General features: G+C 43.0%; 1 pseudogene across 3 annotated transcripts in view; it reads right to left on the bottom strand.

The window, feature by feature from the left end:
- Nucleotides 1–15,361, bottom strand: part of TEKT4P2 (tektin 4 pseudogene 2) — a 61,406-nt pseudogene extending 46,045 nt beyond the window's left edge. For all 3 annotated transcript variants that reach the window (NR_038328.2, NR_038327.2, NR_038329.2), the window contains exons 1-2: nt 15,283–15,361; nt 13,089–13,147 (exon numbers count right to left, since the gene is read on the bottom strand). The product of NR_038328.2 is annotated as a tektin 4 pseudogene 2, transcript variant 2 (transcript). The remainder of the gene's footprint in view (nt 1–13,088; nt 13,148–15,282) is intronic.
- Between the last annotated feature and the right edge of the window lie 6,849 nt (nt 15,362–22,210).

Consider the following 22,210-nt stretch of genomic DNA (forward strand, 5'->3'; position numbering starts at 1 on the left):
TCTCAGTAACTGATGGAACAACCAGATAAAAATATAGGAAAAATACGGATCTAAATGACAAAATCCTGACCCAAATGGTACTTGGCAGTACCAAGATAGACTGTCGATCAATTGAGAAAATGTTCAAGCATGAAATAGTATACAAAGTATGTTGTCTGAACACCTGAAATTAAATTAGAAACCAACAACAAATTGATATCCAGAAAAGCCTCAAATGTCTGAAAACCAAGTAATAAACTTTGAAATACCCTGTAAGTCAAAAAAGTATTCACAAGGGGAACTGGAATGTATTTGGAACAAACTTGTTATAAAAATCATATTTCTGGTAGACTAAAGGTGACAACTTCTTTCCTGCTCCTCTCTCTGTGAGAACCAATTCCCCTTAAACCTTGCCCAGACTACTGACTTGCTTGGCCAACAGAAGGTGACAAAGGTGGTATTTGGGGACTTCAGAAGCCAGGCTGAGAAAACAGAACACTTATCCAGGAGAAAGCCAGTCACCAGGCAGGAAATCCCACTCCCCTGAGACCCCATGATGGAAACCACACGGCCAGTCCATGACTAGCTACATGCATTGACATCCCCCATTGACCCTCTAGCAACACCGACTCCCAACCACTAGTGAGCCTTCAGCAACATCCACTCCCAACCACTAGTGAGCCACCCTGCACACCACCCCGCTGTGCTTTCACACAATCCAGCTTGGCTGCAACTGTGTGTGAGATGAGCTGGTCACCAAGACTCTCTAAGCCAAAAAACAAGTAATAATGAGTTGTTTTAAGCTGCCAAGTTTTGGGGATGGTTTCTTCAGAATAGATAACTGGAACAGAATATTGTAGCTGGAAATGAGCCGCTGTGGTAATCAGAAGCTACAATATGTGCCACGACTGTGAGGCTGACCTGTAACTGGGCCTCAAGGAGACCATTCATGCAACCTGGAAGGGCATCAAGACTCTTGGTCAGGGCCTGAAAGACGGTGAGAAAATGTCATTGGAAACTGGGGAAAAGGCCTGAGAGTTATGTGCTGAGGGACTGTGAGAAAACTATGGCCACAACATGGAAACTGAAAGGGCACTGCACCATCTCAGGGATCTGCCTAAGGAGACATCTGGGAAGAACATGGAAAGTGCTATCAGCCTCCCCTAACTGTCACTGAATAAACATGACAGGAGAGGGACATGATCTAAAGAAGGAAGTTCAGTTTTCCAACAAAATTTAGAGAAAATATAAAGAAATAATTTCTTGTCTCAAAAGGCCAAAGAAAAAAAAAAAGAAAAGAAAAAAAAATTATAAAGAAGCCATTGAATACCCTATTGACCATAAGAAAAAGGCAGAGAAAGTTGGTCAACGGCAACCCAGGCACTGAAGGAAAAAGAACATGGAGAATGACAAAAGCCCAGAGGGAGGAGTAAAAGGACACAAACGCCGTTCTCAGGGACAAGGACTGGGCGCCGTTCTCAGGGACCTGGACTGGGCACTAATCACAGAACTGTAACAGGCGCCCCATGGGAATGACCAACTGTTAGACGGGGCCTGCAGGGCAGCACCTCCCTCCTGCCTCCCACCAACAGCTTCTAAAGGGAAATGCCGACTGTTTTCACACCAGTCCCCTCACTGCGGCTGAGTGTGTGGGCACAGATGATAGGTCACAACAACCTGATTCAGTCCTCACTGTGGCTGAGTGCGTCAGGGGCAGACGACAGGCCACCACAACCTGATTCAGTCCTCACTGTGGCTGTGTGTGGGGGGGCAGATGACAGGCCACCACAACTTGATTCAGTACTCACTGCGGCTGAGTGTGTGTGGGTGCAGGTGACAGGCCACCACAACCTGATTCAGGATTCAGTTGGGCTACCAGCCAGTGCCATAAGGAAAACCATTCTGGGACTCTTGAGAGGGGCAAAGCATAATTTGCATGTGGGAGAAACGTTAGTAGTTTGTGGCCAGAGGACAAACTGTGGTTTATTAAAGACTGCTGCAGGTTCCTACTATGCTTCTCATCAAGAGGTGGAATCTAATCACCTTCCCCCCTTGAATCATGGCTGGTCTCAGTGATGAGTACGACTGGACAGTGTGGCAGGAGAGATGCTCTGGGACTTCTGAGGGATGATCATGAGAGACCTTACAGCTTCTGCCTGGGCCTCTTGGACACATACACTGGGAGAAGCCAGACAAACCTGACTACCTGACACTGCCAGACTGGGAGGAAGTCCGTGCTGGCCACAAAGAGAGGGCTTGGTGCCTGCTCCATGTCCCCAGCCACTAGAGTCCTTCTGGTGTCTGCTTCACGTCCCCAGCCACTAGAGTCCTTCCAGATGAGACCAGGGACATCATGAAGCAGCCAACCCACATTGCCCTGTCCAGTGTCTTGACCCAGAAAATTGTGACATGTGAAAAGAATAAATTCCTGGTTTAAGCCAGTAAGGTTACTGGTACATTGTTACATTGCAGATAATTAAAACCTTGAAAAACTCATGAGAGATCCCAAGTAAAACCTTGATCTGAAACATGGCATGTGGCGATTTATATTGAGTATTAGGTTAAAAATGCAAGATTGGAGAATAGTTAATATTTTACGTGAAAGCTAAAACTATAATTGCCCACTTAAAATTTTCAGTTAATTAGGTTGTCACTTTTTGTTTTTAACCAAGAAATCAACTAGTTTTAGTCCATAAACAGTTGGAACTGATGCACACATCCGTTTTTCCTTACTCATTTTAAGCAGCTATCTGAAATAGGAAGTGTAATATAATCTTTAAAGAATCTGAAAATATGACAGAAATGTTTAAACTATAAACATATATTGTAAATGTTAGCATATTATATACATTGCATATTAACATAAGCTAAAATCATTGATATAAACTTATATAAACAAAAGGTAGAAAATATGACAATGTTCTTCTTGTTTTTTGTCTTTGCATATTTCTTTATTGGCCCTTGTCAAACGTGACCCACTAAGTCCTGAATGCTTTCTCTCTCCCCATGGATTCCTAAGGATGTCACCACAGTGCTGGCCAGATGCACAGATCACAGGTGACTGAACCTCATCACCCCATGAACACACCCTTCAGGTTTTGCCAAGAATGACACTGTAAATATGACAAAGCTTCTGTGCTTGTTAGTGAACACCAATTCAGCTTCTCTCCTGTATTTGGAAATCAGGATGAGATGAAAACAAGCAGGCCAGGCACGGTGGCTCACGCCTGTAATCCCAGCACTTTGGGAGGCCGAGGCGGGCGGATCACCTGAGGTCGGGAGTTCGAGACACCCTGATCAAAACAGAGAAACCCCATCTCTACTAAAAATACAAAATTAGCCGGGCGTGGTGGCACATGCCTGTAATACCAGCTACTCAGGAGCTGAGGCAGGAGAATTGCTTGAACCCAGGAGGTGGAGGGTGCAGTGAGCTGAGATCACACCACTGCGCTCTAGCCTGGGCAACAAGAGCGAAACTCTGTCTCAAAAAAAAAAAAATAAAAATAAAAGAACAAGGAAACAAAAGCAACAAGGCTTGACACCAGATGAGCCTGAATCTAAGCAAGAAAAGCCCAGAAGAAATCCCATTTTGGGTCACTGGCTGCATGGTAGTAATGCCATACACATAAGGAAGAGAAGAGGATGTGGCTTTCACTTCGAATTTTTTGAGCTTAAGGTAAATTTGGATAGCTACAAAGAAGCATTCAACAGAGAGTTAAACCTATGATGGAAAGACTGAAGAGGTCCAAGCTGTAGAGAAACAGGACTGCAAACCACAAAGGGCTGAATCAGTCAAGGAGAACTGCAGGGCAAGATGAACAGGGACCAATGGAACATTTGGATAAGCTGTTGAGAAGAAAGGAGAATTCAGAGAAAAAGAACTGTCAGTGAGGTCATAATAGGAACTGTTACAGTGAACTAAATATGGCCTGGGAAGGACTCTGTACTTCTAGATTTGAGTCCCTGTGGACAAACTGCAACCTAACTTAATAGGTAGAAAGACTGAAAACGTAACTTAGGAGTATGTGCCTAAAACAGTAGCTGAGTCCTGGCCAATCCCAACAGCCAAACTTCTGCCACTCACACACTGCTGAGTGTTCAGCTGTGTTCAAATAAGGCAAATGCTGAGCACTGTAACCAGTCCAGTTGTTTCTGGACCTCACTGCTGAGAACTGTAATGGACCCAGTTGCTTCTAGACCTCACTCCTCACTTCAGATTTTTGTACATCATGTTCCCTTTATTGTCTATAAATCTTCCACCATGTGTCTGTGCTGGAGTCTCACTGAATCTGCTGTGATTCTGGGGGCTGCCTGATTCGTGAATCATTCATTGCTCAATTAAGCTCCTTTAAATTTAATTCAGCTGAAGATTTTCTTTTAATAGATGGTGTCAGAAGTGGGATCCGTGGGAGCAGGACTGCTAGGGCCTCTGGAGCTATACTGTGGTGAGCAGTGTTGCTAAGACTTCTAATGACCCCCAGAGTGCTGAGGTACAAGGAAGGAACCTGAAAGGACCCATTTGTGATGGCAGCAGTGGCCCACGTGGAGCAGTTGCTATGGAGACACTGGCTGCAGTGGGGAGGAGTGGCTGGGGCTGTGCACTCCTCAAAGCTGGTGGGAGCCAGGAATGGGTGGGAGACCTGCCCCTTCTAAATTATCAGGCAGGAGCCCCACCCTCCCAGGCACAGCTGCAGCCATCCAGCCATGACTGCAAACCCGGGCATCTCTGCACTCTCAGAGGCCCAGCAAGCCCCCCTGCCCCGCAGGCTCAGTTGTACCTGGTCCTGCCACCTGGCGTCTCTCTGCTTCCAGAGCCCACTCCAAATTCAGATCCAAGTTGAGGCCAAACCTGGGCACAGTCACAACCTGGCCTGGTTTGCGCAAGCTCAGGGCAGTGCTGACATGCCAGCCCCCTGCCACCTCGGCCCCCTCCAGAATTTGGGCACTGGCAAGCACAGGAGGGAGGCTGAGGTGGGGCTAAGAGTGGCTCAGCAGTGGCCGGAAGGCCCTCCTCAGCTCGAACGCCTGGGCACTATGGGCACAGCTACCCACCGTGCGTCTCCTCTCAGCTGCTGAGAGCTGAACAGACGTTGGGATGACCTGCCTGCAGAAAGGAGCTACCCACTGCAGGTCTCCTCTGAGCCGTACTGTGGCTCAATAAAGCACCTCTTCACCTTGCTCACCTTCTACTTGTCCACATACCTCATTTTTCCTGGACTCAGGACAAGAACTCGGGACCTGCCAACTAGCAGGGCTGAAAGAGGTGTAACATAAACAGGGCTGAAACGCGCTCCTTTCTTGCCAAATTGCAGGCAAGAAGAAGAGAAGAGAGAAGGAGAGAAGAGCTGTGTCCCTTCAGGGAACACACACCTAGGAGCTCCTCCAACCAGGGCTGTGACACCTTCTTTGGGGCTCTGCAGGTCCTGCATCTCCAAGCTTCTGGGTGCCACTGCATTCCCTGATACCCACAGTGGAAGCTGTTTGCAGTCGGCCTGGTCCAGCTGCAGCCTCACAGGGAGCTGGCACCTGTGCCTGGAGCTGCCCACCCCACTGCAGCTGGCATGCTTGGCTGTGTGCAGTGGCAGATCCCATGCTCGCTTGCTCACACACCCCTCACTGCTCTGTACCCAGCTCGCCCTTGGCAGGTGTGGGATCCAGACCACTAGCATGAGCTGAGTGGACAGAACTAACCCAGTGGGCCCGAGCAAAACACAGGTAAAGGTGCCACCAGCCAGAGGTTTCAGGCAGAAAAGTGACACCTCAGGATTCTGTAACACTTGTGTCCTTTGATCTCTCTGAGCAGCTGGGGATCATGGTAAATTTTCTCTCGGATTTCAGAGCTCCATGGATTTGTGTTTTGAGCTCTGAGTTTCTTTGAGCAAATTTCTGTTCCAAACTGCTATCCAGCCATGACTGGCTGGATGTTTTAGAAGTTATGACAGAAAACGGACCGGGTCCAGGATCAGATTTGATCCAGTAGTTAATTGGCTTGAATCCAGTTCCAGTTAGAGGCCTCCTACATCTGACTGGGTCAGAAGGAAAGTGGTAGTAAATGATAATATTGGAAGATTGTAACATTTGGCTTTTGAAAATTCACAGGGATTTTTGTGTTCTACCCCTTTGTTTCATTTTTCTCGCACGGTTAGGCAGGAAAAAAAAATCATTGGCTAAGTTAATGAAGGGAACCTGGGAGTAAAGCCAATATTTTAGGTAAAAATAGGATCCTTAATTTCTGGAAAACTAAGCTCCTTCTGGCTAATACATTAGGCCTGGGAAGCAGCAAAGTCTTACAGAAATGGCAAAATCTTATTAAGATAACTTACAGTGGAACATTCCAAATGAATAATGCCCTGAAGTGCATTTAAAAATGAGGGTTCCCAAATTAGTCTCATCTAGGGATGCCTATTAATATGCAGAAGCTTCTAAAAAGATTTAGAGATGGCACCGCCCATCTGGGAGCAAGTTTGAGTCTTACCAGTTTGATACTGGGTGCTGAGCAAAGTGGCACGTGTCTATGTTTTGTCACATGTATTTTGCTCTGGGCAGAATGAAAAATGTTAATTTGGTTACTCCAAGCAACCCCTTGGGCAGCATCTTGCAAAGCTGAGAGGATTCTTCCTGTGATTCCATGATTTTCCATTGTGATGCAGCTTGGCCCCCAGAGCTATAATGTGGTGAGGAGGGTGACAGAGCAAGACGCAATCTTTAAAAAAAAAAATGGCCAGGTAGAGTGGCTCATGCCTGTAATCCCAACACTTGGGGAGGCTGAGGCAGGTGGATCACCTGAGGTCAGGAGTTCAGGGCCAGCCTGACCAACAAGGAAAAACCCCATCTCTACTAAAAACACAAAATTAGCTGGGCATGGTGGCACATGCCTCTAATCCCAGCTACTCAGGAGGCTGGGGAAGGAGAATCGCTTGAACCCGGGAGGCAGGGGGTTGCAGTGAACCGAGATCACACCATTGCACTCCAGCCTGGGCAACAAGAGGGAAAATCCATCTGAAAAAAAAAAAAAAAGAAAGAATAATAGGTTTGTCTATGAGGTTTTATGAAAAAGTGGGTGACATTTGGCTTTCTCACTTTAAAGAAGATGTTCAGGTAATATTAAAAAATAATGAAAAATTTGTTTGCCTTTTAAATAAACTACCAAAAAAAAAAAAAAAGGAAAAACAAGAGGCAGATCGTTTGTGAAGATGTCTTCCCTCTATCAATGAGTAAAGATTTTTGCCCTTTAAAACTTTTTTAAGTCATGATTTTAAGTAAATGAATGACTTACGGTGACCTGGAATTCTATTTCATAACATCAAGTGTTTAAACTTTTAATATATTTAATAGGCTTCCCAAAATCAAATTTCAACTTCAAAATTGTCTTTTCTGACCTCTAACTTTGGGATACTACAGAGGCCCTTGAAGCACCCAAAAGAGAGGTAAACAGGACTATTTAACATGTTAAGTCACATGGGTAGCACTGTCAAAATAAAACATAATGTTGAACCTTTTTCAGGTTATATTTAGTTTATGTCATCAACCCGTTCTAAAATTGTATAGGATTTCTAAAATTCTTTTTTTTTTTTCCCCTGAGACGGAGTCTTGCTCTGTCACCCAGGCTGGAGTACAGTGGCACAATCTCGGCTCACTGCAACCTCCGCCTCCTGGGTTCATGCCATTCTCCTGCTTCAGCCTCCCGAGTAGCTGGGACTACAGGCATCCACCACCATGCCAAGCTAATTTTTGTATTTTTAGTAGAGATGGGGTTTCACCGTGTTAGCCAGGATGTTCTCATCTCCTGACCTCGTGATCCTTCCACCTTGGCCTCCCAAAGTGCTGGGATTACAGGCGTGAGCCACTGCACCTGGCCAGGATTCTAAAATTCTAATATGCCTATATGCTATCTATCATAATTACCTGTTTTGTTTGTTTTGAGACGGAGTTTCGCTCTTGTCACCTAGGCTGGAGTGCAATGGTGTGATCTAGGATCACTGAAGCCTCCACCTCCTGGGTTCAAACATTTCTCCTGCCTCAGCCTCCCAAGTAGCTGGGATTACAGACAACTGCCACCACATCCGGCTAATTTTTTTTATTTTTAGTAAAGACAGAGTTTTACCATGTTGGCCAGGCTGGTCTCAAACTCCTGACCTCAGGTGATCCACCTAACTTGGCCTCTCAAAGAGCTGGGATTACAGGAATGAGCCACCACATCCACCCTAATTATGGTTATTAAGTTATTGTAGACCACAGAAATAACCAAATTTCCTTATCAATTGTCTTTAACTATAACTATTTAAAGTCATTTCCACAGTTAATTGCTTAATGATGATGCAGTTTCTAAAAACTTCACAAGCATGCAAAATTCTAGAATAGAAGATTCATGAAAGAATGAAAAGGACCATGAAAAACACTCGGGAACACAGGTTTCTAATAACTTTAATATCATGGGTAAAAATTCCCCATAAGTTCCCCGATCCCCCAATAATTGGACTGGTGAAGAATTCTCAAAAGTTAGGCTGGGTGCAGTGGCTCATGTTGGCAATCCCAGCACTTTGGGAGGCTGAGGCCGGTGGATCACTTGAGGTCAGGAGTTTGAGACCAGCCTGGCCAATGGTGAAACCCCACCTCTACTAAAACTACAAAAATTAGCCGGGTGTGGTGGTATGCATCTGTAATCCCAGCTACTCGGGAGGCTGAGGCAGGAGAATCACTTGAACCCAGGAGGCGGAGGTTGCAGTGAGCCAAGATTGTGCCACTGCGCTCCAACCTAGGTAACAGAGTGAGACTCTGTCTCAAAAAAAAAAAAATCCAAAAGTTTAATAAGAAGACCAACTGGTTTATAAAACTGCTAACCCAAGTAAAACAAAAACTGAATATCAAGGAAATATTTTCCAGATTTGCATGCTAAATCACCAATATTGAAATTGTTTAGATATATAATTTAAATAAACTCCATGGTCTAAGCCAAATTACCTATAACTCATCAGTTACCAGTGCCATGCACCTAATTTGAAGAAACAGCTGGTATTCAAGAGGATGTAAGTCTAATGTTAATTAAGCACGGACTTATGAATAACCAGGATGGCCACCTTTCCGTCTTAAGTCCTTAAAACTTTTGTTATTAAAAGTTCTGCATTCCATAACTCATCATGGAAAGAGAAAATGATCCAAATTAAATATATTGCTGTGGTGATCTCTAAATTGCTAAAATAGTTTATAATCAATGTTTGGTATGTCGAACCTATATTCCTAGGAAAACAATCAAAACTTCAGGTGCATTTGGTTACCTGATGGGCCATTTAAACATTTTATAAAGGGATTTCATTCAGTTGTCATTTTCAGTGCATGTTTTCTGATTGTAAAAAAGCTCTTCCATGCAAGAGGGTTGATGTTAAAACAGTAGATTATTATGCTGAAGTGTATTTTCACCAGATAAAGAAAGCCTTTTATGGTTCACAGAGGACAGCCAACCCCTTCACAATCTAGAATCTGATGACTGGATCTTCTGAGAACATCAGAGGACTGCCCTTGCCATTCACATGACAGCAAAACTTTAAAACCTTAAACTTTGGGTTCATAGTCTTACAACTCAGAAGGGTCCCTCCACACTTGGAACCATACACCCCTTGGAACCCTTAAGGTAAAGCTAACAAGGACAGTTCCCCCCCAGAAGAAGATGGCATCCTTAATGTGAACAGCTTTTCCCAAGATCACAGATCAAGACTTCTCTACTATCATGAGACTCTTATCTTAAGTATCTGTGCAGCTGCTAACATGGCATATGGAGAAAACATCGGGTATTATAAAGATTTGGTTGTAGGGAATTAACAAAAAGACCCACTTAGTTAAGCAAGTAAACTCTTTATCTAATTCATTCTTTAATCTATTTGATTTTAGGTGGTTTGATTTATGGGGACCCTGAGTAAGGAGCATATACCAAATTCTTGGTGTTATCCCAATAGTCATAAGAGTCTCCCTGGTGCACTGTACTTACTCAAATGTTTTAAGAGTTTGCATGCAGCCATCTCTAAAATGTCAAATGGTATCTCTTCAACTGGAATGACAACAGATTAAAAAAATGTGCAATCATAAGGACACCGTAACCTATGAGTGACATGCTAAACCAGAAACCCAAAACAATGGGAGTGACATGCTAAACCAGAAACCCAAAACAATGGGACTGATGTACTAAAACCGGAACCCAAAACAATGGGAGTGATGTACTAAAACCAGAACCCAAAACAATGGGAGTGACGTGCTAAACCAGAAACCCAAAACAATGGGAGTAACATGCTAAAACCAGAACCCAAAACAATGGGAGTGACGTGCTAAAACCATTACCCAAAACAATGGGAGTGATGTGCTAAACCGGAAACCCAAAACAATGGTAACTAAGAGTGGGGCTAAGGCCCTACATTTTGGTCACACTCTCAACTAAGTGAGAACTTGACTGAAAAGGAGGATTTTTTTTTTTCTGAGACAGAGTCTTGCTCTGTCCCCCAGAGTGGAGTGCAGTGGCATGATCTCGGCTCACTGCAAGCTCTGCCTCCCGGGTTCAGGCCATTCTCCTGCCTCAGCCTCCTGAGTAGCTGGGACTACAGGCACCCGCCAGCATGCTTGGCTATTTTTTTGTGTATTTAGTAGAGATGGGGTTTCACCGTATTAGCAAGGATGGTCTCAATCTCCTGATCTCGTGATCTGCCCACCTCGGCCTTCCAAAGTGCTGGGATTACAGGCATGAGCCACCGTGCCCAGCCAAAAGGAGGAATTTTTTAAGCAAAATTATGGGAGGCCATTGTTTTGAACTAAGCTCATGCAATAGGTCCCAACAGAACAAACCAAACCAAAATGGAGTCACTCATGCTAAATGGAACATAATCAAACTAAGACTTTAAGGAAACACATAAATCCTAGAACAAACCAGGTTTTGTTTTTCTCCTGTAAACAGGATGTTCCAGCATAAGAAGACAACTTCTACTCAAGTCCTTGTTCCACCTTTTCAAATCTCACTGTTCTATTTCCCAGTGGGTTTCTAAACCAAATAAGTACATTTGCAAGGGTAATAGTGACACCAGTGACTGAAGTTTTGGCCAATCTCTCAAAATTGAGAAAATAACCAAAGGGAAGGCATTGTTAAAGTGAACTAAGTATGTCCTGAGAAGGACTCCATAATTATATATATGAGTCCTTGTGGGTGACCTGCAACCTATCTTAATAGGTAAACAAGAATGAAAACCTAACTTGAGTGTATGCACCTCAAACAACAGCTACATCTTGGCCAATCCCAATGGCCAAACTTCAACCACTCAGGCACTGCCAAATGTTCAAACTGTGCTCAAACAAGGCAAACGCTGAGTTGTTTCTGTACCTCACTTCCGATTTCGGTATGCCACTTCCCTTTTGTCTACAAATCTTCTTCCACCACATGACTGTGCTGGAGTCTCTGTGAATCTGCTGTGATTCTGGGGACTTTCCGATTCATGAATCGTTTATTGCTCAATTAAACTCCTTTAAAGTTTTTCTTTTAACAGAACTAACACGGAAGAATTTCCAGATCATGAACAGATGTTTTGTAATACCCAACGTTGTATTAACATGAATAGACTCTTCCTTAGATAGCTAACCTTGTTTTTAATATGAATAGACTCTCCCTTAGCTGAGAAAACCAGACAAACTCCATTTGGCTCCTTCATTTACAAGACATCAAGGGCTCCTTACCCACCCCCTTTCCTCAAGGACTTTAACTTGTGCAAGCTGATTTTCAACATATCAAAGAGTGCAATTAACTGATAAAGTGCTGAGGCAAGTGATGTCCGCAGTTCCCAGCAAATTACTCAGAGATAATATCATAAAGCCCCCACATTTGTCTGGAAGATAATGCCCAGAGCCCCCTCACTCATCACTTTGTGGTGAATTTAAAGCCTCTGCACCTGGAACAGTTTGTTTTCCTGTAACCATCTGTCTTTTTAAGTTTTTTGTCTGTTTTTTCTTCTGTAAGTTTATTGCAGCTGGAATCCCCCCTCCCCTCTCTAAACCAATGTATAAAAGAAAATCTAGCCCATTCTTTAGGGCCGAGAGTATTTCCTGTGTTAGCCATCTCTCAGTCACCAGCTAATAAAGGACTCCTGAATTCGTCTCAAAGTGTGGCATTTCTAACTCGTTTGGGTACAACAGTTTCAACTATGGTAGAAGACTCGAGTAAGACAAATACAGCCCCCCTAAATTTGACTATTATTTAGGTTAATGGTGAGTTTAGAAGAAATAAGTTAAGACTACACAGAGTGGGCTAAATTGCAAATAAACACTGAAAATATTTCCCAGAAAATATGACTTTGAACAGGCTGCTGCACACCCTGCATGTAGAGATAAACTAAGAAAAATGTGTGGAGAGTTATTTAAGGACCTGTGGTTAACTCAGTCCTCAAGATGTTCTGGGTTTCATCCATGAGTCAAGGAGGACCTCCCAAAAGCTGTTTGGGACCACACTCTTTGAGCAAGGAGCATACCTTATGATGGAAGCTGTGCTTTAGCAGCAGATGACCATTTCCACTGCACAACACGCCGTGCTTTAGCAGACGATGACCATTTCCACTGTACAACATGCTGTGCTTTAGCGTCAGATGACCATTTCCACTGCACAACACGCCATGCTTTAGCGGAAAATGACCATTTCCACTGCACAACACGCCATGCCTTAGCGGAAGATGACTGTTTCCACTGCACAACACTACAAGTGCTTACTGCCAGACCGGTGTGAAATATGTTCCAGCACATAATCTATGTCACCAATGAAGGTGGTGGTTAAGACTTGGTGCACACAAGCTTTCCTGTCCCACAAGAACACAGCATGCTCTCTTTTCGGGTTCCATTCCAATCACGTAAGAAACATGACTGCCTTTTTTGTTTCGGCATCAGAAAGATCAGAGGAAACTTTGCACTCAACTTAGACAACTCTAAGCTTTTATAACCTGTCTATATCTACAGGTCAGCTTTATCTTATTTATGTATATTTCCTTCAACCTGAGTTTTACTTATTTCCACTTTTCCTTTTTAATTCACAGACACCCATAAACTCAGAAAATACAGTGTAAAACAAAGTGAAGAACAAATAAACAACTCACCAGAGATTTATTCGTTTCTTGTTGCTCTTGGAAACACCCAGAGGACACTGGAAACATAGCTGGAAGAGAAGGCAAATGACGTCGATTAAGGAGAGAACTGGTGAGGTGTGGTCCCAGATTCTTCTGCCCAACACTCTAGACACATTACCTGGAAAAGCCCTCCTCCCTCCGGAAAAAGAAAAACTTCCCCATGGGAGAAGAGTCCTTCACACCTCATTAGGGGCAGCAGAGACTCAAGTTAAGATAAGATACATCTACAAGTACATTAATTGGTAGACATTAGATGCACAATTTATTTTTGAATAAAAATATGTATTACCTACTAATTTAGTAACAATATTACCTAAAGATATAATCTAATAATTTAATACAAAGAAACATTATAAGTTCACTAAAATAAATGTTATAGAAATATACTGGGCTGTATTAACTATTTTCCTATTAACATGTGGATTCCACAGATAACTTCATATGAGTATTCCCATGACAGTACATCTTGCTTTTCTATACCTGAACATCATGGAAAGTGCATCTTGCAACCCAGTAATTTTGGCCTACGTTTTTTAAAATGTACATAATATGTATTTCCTGCAGTACACCATTCTACTCATGTTTCCCAATAACACCTTTCCCTGTATCCAAGCCCTCATATTATGCTCTGACAATAAATTGGGCTTTTCCATCTGACTTGTCCAGTGAATGGACAATGGAAAATGTGATGCAAATATCCATTGGTTCTTGCCTTTTTGGACACAGTCATATTGTGAAGAGGTCTGGAGCTACCCTGTTGGAGACACAGGGCCTAGCCAAGAGTCACCACAAACCACCAGATTGTGAAGGAAACTATCTTAAACCAACCAGGCTCAGTCAAGGCACCAGGTGACTAAGGCCTGTTTTGTGATCCAGGCAACACAAATATATCAACTACCCAGCTGAACCCACCACACCAAAATGCAGATCCACAGAACTTCAAACAAATAAAATGGTGGTTGTTTTTTATAAGCTAGTAAGGTTTAATTAGTTCCTTAAACAGCAAATATTAACTGTTACACCTAAGTGAATAGAATTCAATATGTTTTTAACGAAATTATGTAGGGGGAGAAAGTCTTAAATTACAAATCAAATGCAATCAATAGAACTTCACAATCTATGCTAAATTTGGTGATGGACTAGGTTTAATATATCTCAGACACTGGAAACAACAAGCTAAGTTTGAAGGAATGGGACTGTATTTGGAGAGTATTTCAATCTTTTCAAGTATGACAGGTCACTCCTGCACCCCAGACCACACTTTCAGGCCCCTTCAAATAAGGAATATTTCCTAGGTCCTTGCCTGTTCTTCTCAGCTGAATTCACCTCAACCTTCTGAAAGTTCTTCCAAACCTTCCACTATCACCTAGTCTTTGAAAATCTTGTGCATTCTAGGGAGTAGAATTAATATTTCCTGAGCGAGGAAAACTGGGATCTTCACCTGCGACCTTTTATCCTCCTCTGAAGCACCAGTGAGAAGTTAGACCAGAGGGCTGTTCTTTCAAGTGCGCTTCTTATTCATAGGGAACCCTCCCTTTCAAACTTTATAACACACAGTGAAGACTGAAGTACCCTTAAGGCTGAAGACCATCATCCAGTACCCCATCTCCCTCGCGGAATCAGTGAGTTCCTCCATGGAAACTAGGTCTCGTATAAACTTCCATAAATGCAATCCAGGAGGACTAGGCAGGTCACACAGTGAAGGAGGGAACCAGAAACTTCACTTGTTAAATAGACACCAGGAAACCCAACTAATACAAACGCCCAGCTTGAGACTAGAGGCACACGCATTTCGCACTACTACTCTGGGAATGGGGAACGTCTCCCGAGAACTGTGTGTTAGCACGGGGACAGATGGGCAAACTGAGCTACATGAGGGTTGGTAACCGGGTCCCTCAGTGGCAGGACAGGAGCGCGGCCTGCAGACTCCGGGCCCAGGGCCACCAGCCTCGCCTACCCACTCCTGCGCCTCTGGAACCCGCTTCACTGCTGGGACCCCACGTCTGTCCTCCCAGCCCCCGCCAGGGTCCACGGCCCGCAAATGCACGTCAGGCCCCTCCTGCCCGCGATGCGCCCACGCGTCTGCCCCCACAAATGGGGAACACTGGTCTGGCCCCCCGGGATCCCCCGAGGCCCACAGGTTCCTCTTCGCCCTCGCACCTACCTACAGGGACATAGAACCAAGCCCCAGGCCTGCTCAGCTACACGACCGCCGCTGGGATCCGCACTTCCGGAGGAAAATGGCGAAGTGGGCGGGGCGGCGCATGCGCAGAGAGAAAAGCTGGTTCCCAAGGTCCTTGATGGTAACATCATTGGAAGGTGACACTACATTTCCTATGAGGCTCTGCGGTCCCCCGTTAGGAACGCACGCCGGACATTCTGTTTTGCCCAGCAGTGAGTCCAGTTACCCGGAGACCCGGAGTTAATGGATCAGGACTGGTCCCTACCCACGTGACACAGATGTGGCATTCTGGTTCGTTATTAAATCCTGGTTTCACAGCCTGGGACATTGTGAAAATAATGGAGAAATTCCAATAGAAACCAATTGGTCTATGCTGTTAATGAGTAACTTTTTTTTTTTTTGAGATGGAGTCTCGCTCTGTCACCCAGGCTGGAGTGCAATGGTGCGACCTTCGCTCACTGCAAACTCTGCCTCCCAGGTTCAAGAGATTCTCCTGCCTCAGCCTCCTGAGTATCTGGGATCACAGGCGGGCGCCACCACACTCACCTAATTTTTGTATTTTTAGTAGAAACGGGGTTTCACCATGTTGGTCAGGCTGGTCTCTAACTCCTAACCTCGTGATCCGCCCTCCTAGGCCTCCCAAAGTGCTGGGATTACAGGCGTGAGCCACCGCGCCCAGCCCTCAAGTCTATTTTTCATAGATGCATTCGAAAGCATGAAAAAAATCATGTCTCTATTTTACTTTAAATTTTTAAAAACACAACTAATGAATATGGTAATTCTCTTCCAATCTGTTATCTTTTATCTCACGAAACTAATTTGTGAGCTTTCAATTTACACAGTTAGAAAAAAATGCTCTAGTGTATATACTAGGATAAAATAACAGGGTCATAAGACAAGTGCACTCCATAATCTTTGTGACAACTTACACTTCCAGTGTCTGATGAACATTTGCCCATAAACTCCCACGTTTCATCCATCCATCCATCAATCAAATCTACCTATCTTTATTTATTTATTGTGCGAAATACCTGAACTTTGCCTTTCCTTCCCTGATTTCTGCCACAAACTAGGCAAGGAGTTCTGCCTAGGGGTTTTTCAGAGCTCCGGCTACCACCGAGGTTCCTAACAGGGAAATTCCCAGCTTGAATGCTTGGGGTTGATGTGGGAGTGCGTGTGAAACGGGTGTGGGGTGAAAGGGCAGTGAACTTTGTAGGTGGGTAGATGGGGGTGTGAAGGGCTTTCAGGTAAGAGGCACAGAGGAAACTGGGAGAGGCAGCGAAAGCACTTCACGCCTCAGATCACCAGAAGATGCTCCCACCAGCACCATGACAGTTTGCCAGTGCCATGGCAACACAGGAAGTCCCCACCCCTTGCCATGGAAACAGCTGGAAGTTACTGCCCATTTCTAGCTATTTCTGAGTAACCCGCCCCTTAATTAGCATGTCATTAAAAGTGAATTATAAAAATGACTACAAGCCACCCCTAGGCTGCTACTCTGGGAGCACAACCCACAGAGGGCTCCCTGCCCTGCAGGAGCGGACGCAGGGCTGTAACACCGCCAATGCCTCCATAGAGCTGCTTTATTCCACCACAGGCTTGCTTTTGGATTCCTTCCTGAGCGACGCCAAGAACCTGCCCTTCCTCAGTGTGACTCTTGCCTAAAATCTATCCCTGGTTTTCTCTTTTCCTAAGCATGCCCTGACTTGTTCTTTCATCTCCTCTGAACTTGCAATTGCTCCTCAGTGACTCTATTCTGCAGATCCAGAAAACTCAACCTTAATCTTCCCAGAGCCCTGTTGTCTCCAATATTGGAATATCTAGCCTTGCTTTCTCAGACGCCTAGATTACAGGCCTCTCTCTTGAACACCTATTGGTAAGGTATCCGGGGATCCTTTAAATACACGATGATTGGCAGGGTTTACATAGGGGAAATCAGTGCCTGACAATTTGCCTTCCAGGATATGGATTGTCATTCCCTCTCTTTGTGGGCCCCAGTCTCCTATACATAAAAGTAGAGATTGTAATACTCATTTGACTTGCAGATACCTCACCCCGAACCCACCTACTATAATGTAAAAGCCAAGAATGCAAACCCTTTCCTCACCCCGTGAAGGTAAAGTCCTCAGAGCCAAGGAGAGAAGGCTCAGGGATGGTACCTGGGTGTTTCCAACACTAACCATGCATTGTAGTTTTTAGTGTTCAAGTTTAAGCTTCTTATGTTAAAGTTACCCCAGCTTTAATTATATTGTAACAAGATTTATTTTTGTAATTCCATTTTTGGATTCTTGATTTCTTGGTAAAGAAATACAGTTATTTTTGTATACCAATCTTATATAGTGTTACATTCCAAAATTTGTTCATGAGTCCTAACACTTTTTAGTAAATTTCTTATGATTTTCTAAATGCAAGATCATGTCATCTGTACATAAAGATAACTGTACTTCTTCCTTTCCAATCTAGATGCCGTTTATTTATTTACATTGCCAAGTTGTCCCAGCTACCACTGTTATCAAGTAAAAGGGTCTCACTACCCAAAGCTCTAGAAGCCAGTAACATGACACTGAGTTTTTGAGAAGAGAAAAACTTTAAAGTTAAACCAAAACCTATGGGATACAGGCCAGGCGCAGTGGCTCATGCCTGTAATCCCAGCACTTTGGGAGGCCGAGTTGGGTGGATCACAAGGTCAGGAGATCGAGACCATCCTGGCTAACACGGTGAAACCCCGTCTCTACTAAAAATACAAAAAACAAAAATTAGCTGGGCATGGTGGCAGGCACCTGTAGTCCCAGCTACTCGGCTGAGGCAGGAGAATGGCATGAACCCAGAAGGCAGAGCTTGTAGTAAGCCAAGATTGCACCACTGCACTCCAGCCTGGGCAACAGAGAGAGACTCCGTCTCCAAAAATAAACAAAAACAAGAAAACAAAAAACAAACCTATGGGATACAGTAAAAACAGTACTAAGGAGTAAGTTTATAGCAAAAAGCACCTACATCAAAAAAAGTAGAAAAACTTCAAATAAACAACCTAATAATGCATCTTAAATAGTTAGAAAAGCAAGAGCAAACCAAAACCAAAATTAGTAGAAGGAAACATAACAAAGATCAGAGCAGAAATAAATGAAATTGAAATTTAAAAATATAAAATATCAATGAAATGAAAAGTTAATATTTTTTTAAAAGATCAACAAAATCAACAAACATTTAGCCAGACTAAGAGAAAAGAGAGAAGACTCAAATACATAAAACCAGAGATTAAAAAGGAGACACTGCAACTGATACTGCAGAAATTCAAGTAATCATTAGAAACTATTATGACCAACTATATTCCAATAAATTGAAAAACCTGCAAGTCATGGCCAGGCCCCGTGGCTCATGCCTGTAATCCCAACACTTTGGGAAGCCAAGGCAGGTGATCACCTGAGATCAGGAGTTCAAGACCAGCCTGGCCAACATGGTGAAACCCCATCTCTACTAAAAATACAAAAATTAGCCAGGCATGGTGGCGTGCACCTGTACTCCCAGCTACTCCAGAGGCTGAGGCAGGAGAATAGCTTGAACCTGGGAGGCAGAAGTTGCAGTGAGCTGAGATTGTACCAAGCTCCATCCTGGGTGACAGAGCAAGACTCCATCTCAAAAAAAAAAAAAAAAAAACACAACCAAACCACAAACCTAGAAGAACTGGATAAATGAGATTGAACCCATAATAAAACATCTCCTAGCAAAGAAAAACCTGGATCCAATGGCTTCACTGATTAATTTTACCAAACATTGAAGGAAGAATTACTATCAATCCTACTCAAACTATTCCAAAAAACAGAGAAGTCTGTAATATTTCCAAAATCATTTTATGTAAAAGACCATTCATCGTGTCTAAGTGGGATTCATCCCAAGGATGCCAACATGGTTCAACATATGCAAATCAATCAATGTGACACATCATATCAACAGAATGAAGGACAAAAAACATATGATAATTTCAATTGATGCTGAAAAGCATTTAATAAAATCCAACTTCCCTGTGATAAAAAGAAACCCCCAAAAAAACTAGATTTAGAAGGAACATACCACAACACAATAAAAACCATATGCAACAAACCCTCAGCCAGTATCATCCTGAACAGAGATAACCTGAAAGCCTTTCTTCTAAGATCTGGAACAAGGCAAGAATGTCCACTTCCAACAATGTTACTCAACATAGTACTGGAAGTCCTAGCTAGAGCAATCAAGAAAATTGAAAAACAGTAAAGGGCATCCAAATTGAAAGAAGTAAAATTATTATTGTTTTCTTGTTTGCAGGTGATTTGATCTTATATTTGGAAAAACCTAAGAACTCCACCAAAAAACTATCAGAACTGATCAACAAATTCAGTCACACGATACAAAATCAAAATGAAAAAATCAGTAACATTTCTAAATGCCAAAACTGAACAATCTAAAGAAGAAAATCAAGAACGTAATCCCATTTACAATAGCTACAAATAAAATAAAATATCTAGGAATAAATGTAACAAAAGAAGTGAAAGATCTCTACGATGAAAACTATAGAACACCAATGCAAAAAAATTAAAGAAGACACCAAAAAAAAAAATGGAAAGATAGTCCATGTTCATTGATTGGAAGAGTAAATATTGTTAAAATACACATACTTCACAAAGCAATCTACAGACCCAATGCAATCCCTATTGAAATACTAATAACATTCTTCACAGAAACAGAAAAAAAATCCTAAAATTTATATGAAATCATAAAAGACCCAGAATACCCAAAGCCATCCGTAGCAAAAAGAACAAAACTGGAAGAATCACATCACCTGACGTTAAATTATACTACAGAGCAATTGTAAGCTAAACAGCATGGTACTGGCATAAAACAGACACATAGACCAATGGAACAGAATAGAGAACCCAGAAATAAATCCTTACATTTACAACTAACTCATTTTCAATGAAGGTGCCAAGAATATACATGGGGGAGAGGACAGTCTCTTCACCAAATTGTGCTGGGAAAACTAGATATTCATTGGCAGAATTTTTTTTTTTTTGAGATGGAGTCTAGCTCTGTTGCTCAGGCTGCAGTGCAGTGGCGCGATCTGGGCTCACTGCAAGCTCCACCTCCCGGGTTCACACCATTCTCCTCCTCAGCCTCCCAAGTAGCTGGGAGTACAAATGCCCCCACCATGCCCAGCTATTTTTTTTTTTGTATTTTTAGTAGAGACGGAGTTTCACCGTGTTAGCCAGGATGTTCTTGATATCCTGCCCTCATGATCTGCCCACCTCAGCCTCCCAAAGTCATTGGCAGAATAATTAAACTAGAACCCTCTCTTGTGCTATATACAAAAATCAAATCCAAATGGGTTAAAGACTTAAATCAAGGACAAGAAACTACTGAAAGAAAACATTAGGGAAACTCTCCAGGAAATTGGTCTGGGCACAGATTTCTTGAGTAATACTCCAAAAGCTCAGGCAACCAAAGCAAAAATGAACAAATGGTATCACATGAAGTTCAAAAGTTTCTGCATAGTAAAGAAAACAATGGACAAAGTGAAAAGACAATCCATAGAATGGAAGAAAATATTTGCAAACTATATATCTGACAAGGGATTAATAACCAGAATATATAAGGAGTTCAAACAACTCTATAAGAAAAAAACTAATAATCCAATTATTTAAATGGGCAAAAAATCTGAACAGACATTTCTCAAAAGAAGGCATGCAGGTATGGCGCAGTGGCTCACACCTGTAATTCCAGCATTTTGGGGAGCCAAGACAGTTGGACCACTTGAGCCCAGGAGTTCAAGACCAACCTGAAAAACATAGCAAATAATTTTAAAACCTACCTGGGCATGGTGATGCATGCCTGTGGTCCCAGCTACTCAGGAGGCTGAGGTGGGAGGATTGCTTGAACCCTGGTAGTCATAACTACAGTAAGCCATCATTATACCACTGCACTCCAGCCTGGGTGACAGAGTGAGACACTGTCTCAAAAAATGAGCAAAAACAAAAAAGAAGATATATAAATGTCAAATAGGTATATGAAAAGATGCTCAATATCACCGATCATCAGAGAAATTCAAATCAAAACTACAATAAGATATCATCTTACCCCCATTAAAATGGCTTTTATGCAAAAGACAGGCAATAACAAATGCTTGCAAGAATGTAGGGAAAAGAGAACCCTCTTACTCTGTTGGTGGGAATGTAAATTAGTACATTCACTATGGAGAACAATATGGAGGTCCCTCAAAAAATTAAAAATAGAACTATCATATGATACAGCAATCCCACTGCTGGGTATATACCCAAGGGAGGGAAAATTAGTATATGAAAGAGATATCTGCATTCCCATATTTATTTCAGCACTATTCATAATAGCCAAGATTTGGAAGCAACCTAAGTGTGCATCAACAGATGAAGGGATAAAGAAAATGTAGTACATGTACACAATGGAGTACTCTTCAGCCATGAAAAACAATAAGATTGTGTCACTTGCAACAACGTGGATGGAACTAGGGAACATTATGTTAAGTACAATGAGCCAGGCACAGAAAGACTTTGCATGTTCTCACACATTTGTGGGAGTTAAAAATTAAAACAATTGAACTCATCAAGATGGAGAGTAGACTGAGAGTTTCCAGAGGCTGGGAAGAGTAGCGGTGTTATGGGATCTTTGGAGTGTCACTTTTCTGGACAGAAACCTCTATGGCTGGTGGCACCTTTACCTGAGTTTTGCTTGGGCCCCGCCCACTCAGCCTGGCAGGCTGTGCTCAGCTCATGCTACCAGGTTGGATCCCATGTTTGCCAAGGGAGACTGCGTGGAGTGGCAAGGGGTGTGTGAGCAAGCATGGGGTCTGGCCACTGTGCAGTCAGACTTCCTGGCTGCTGCAGTGGGGCAGGTAGCTCCAGGTGCC

The sequence above is a fragment of the Homo sapiens genome, chromosome 21 (genome assembly GCF_000001405.40).
Source record: "Homo sapiens chromosome 21, GRCh38.p14 Primary Assembly".
In the NCBI taxonomy this organism is placed as follows: Eukaryota; Metazoa; Chordata; class Mammalia; order Primates; family Hominidae; genus Homo; species Homo sapiens.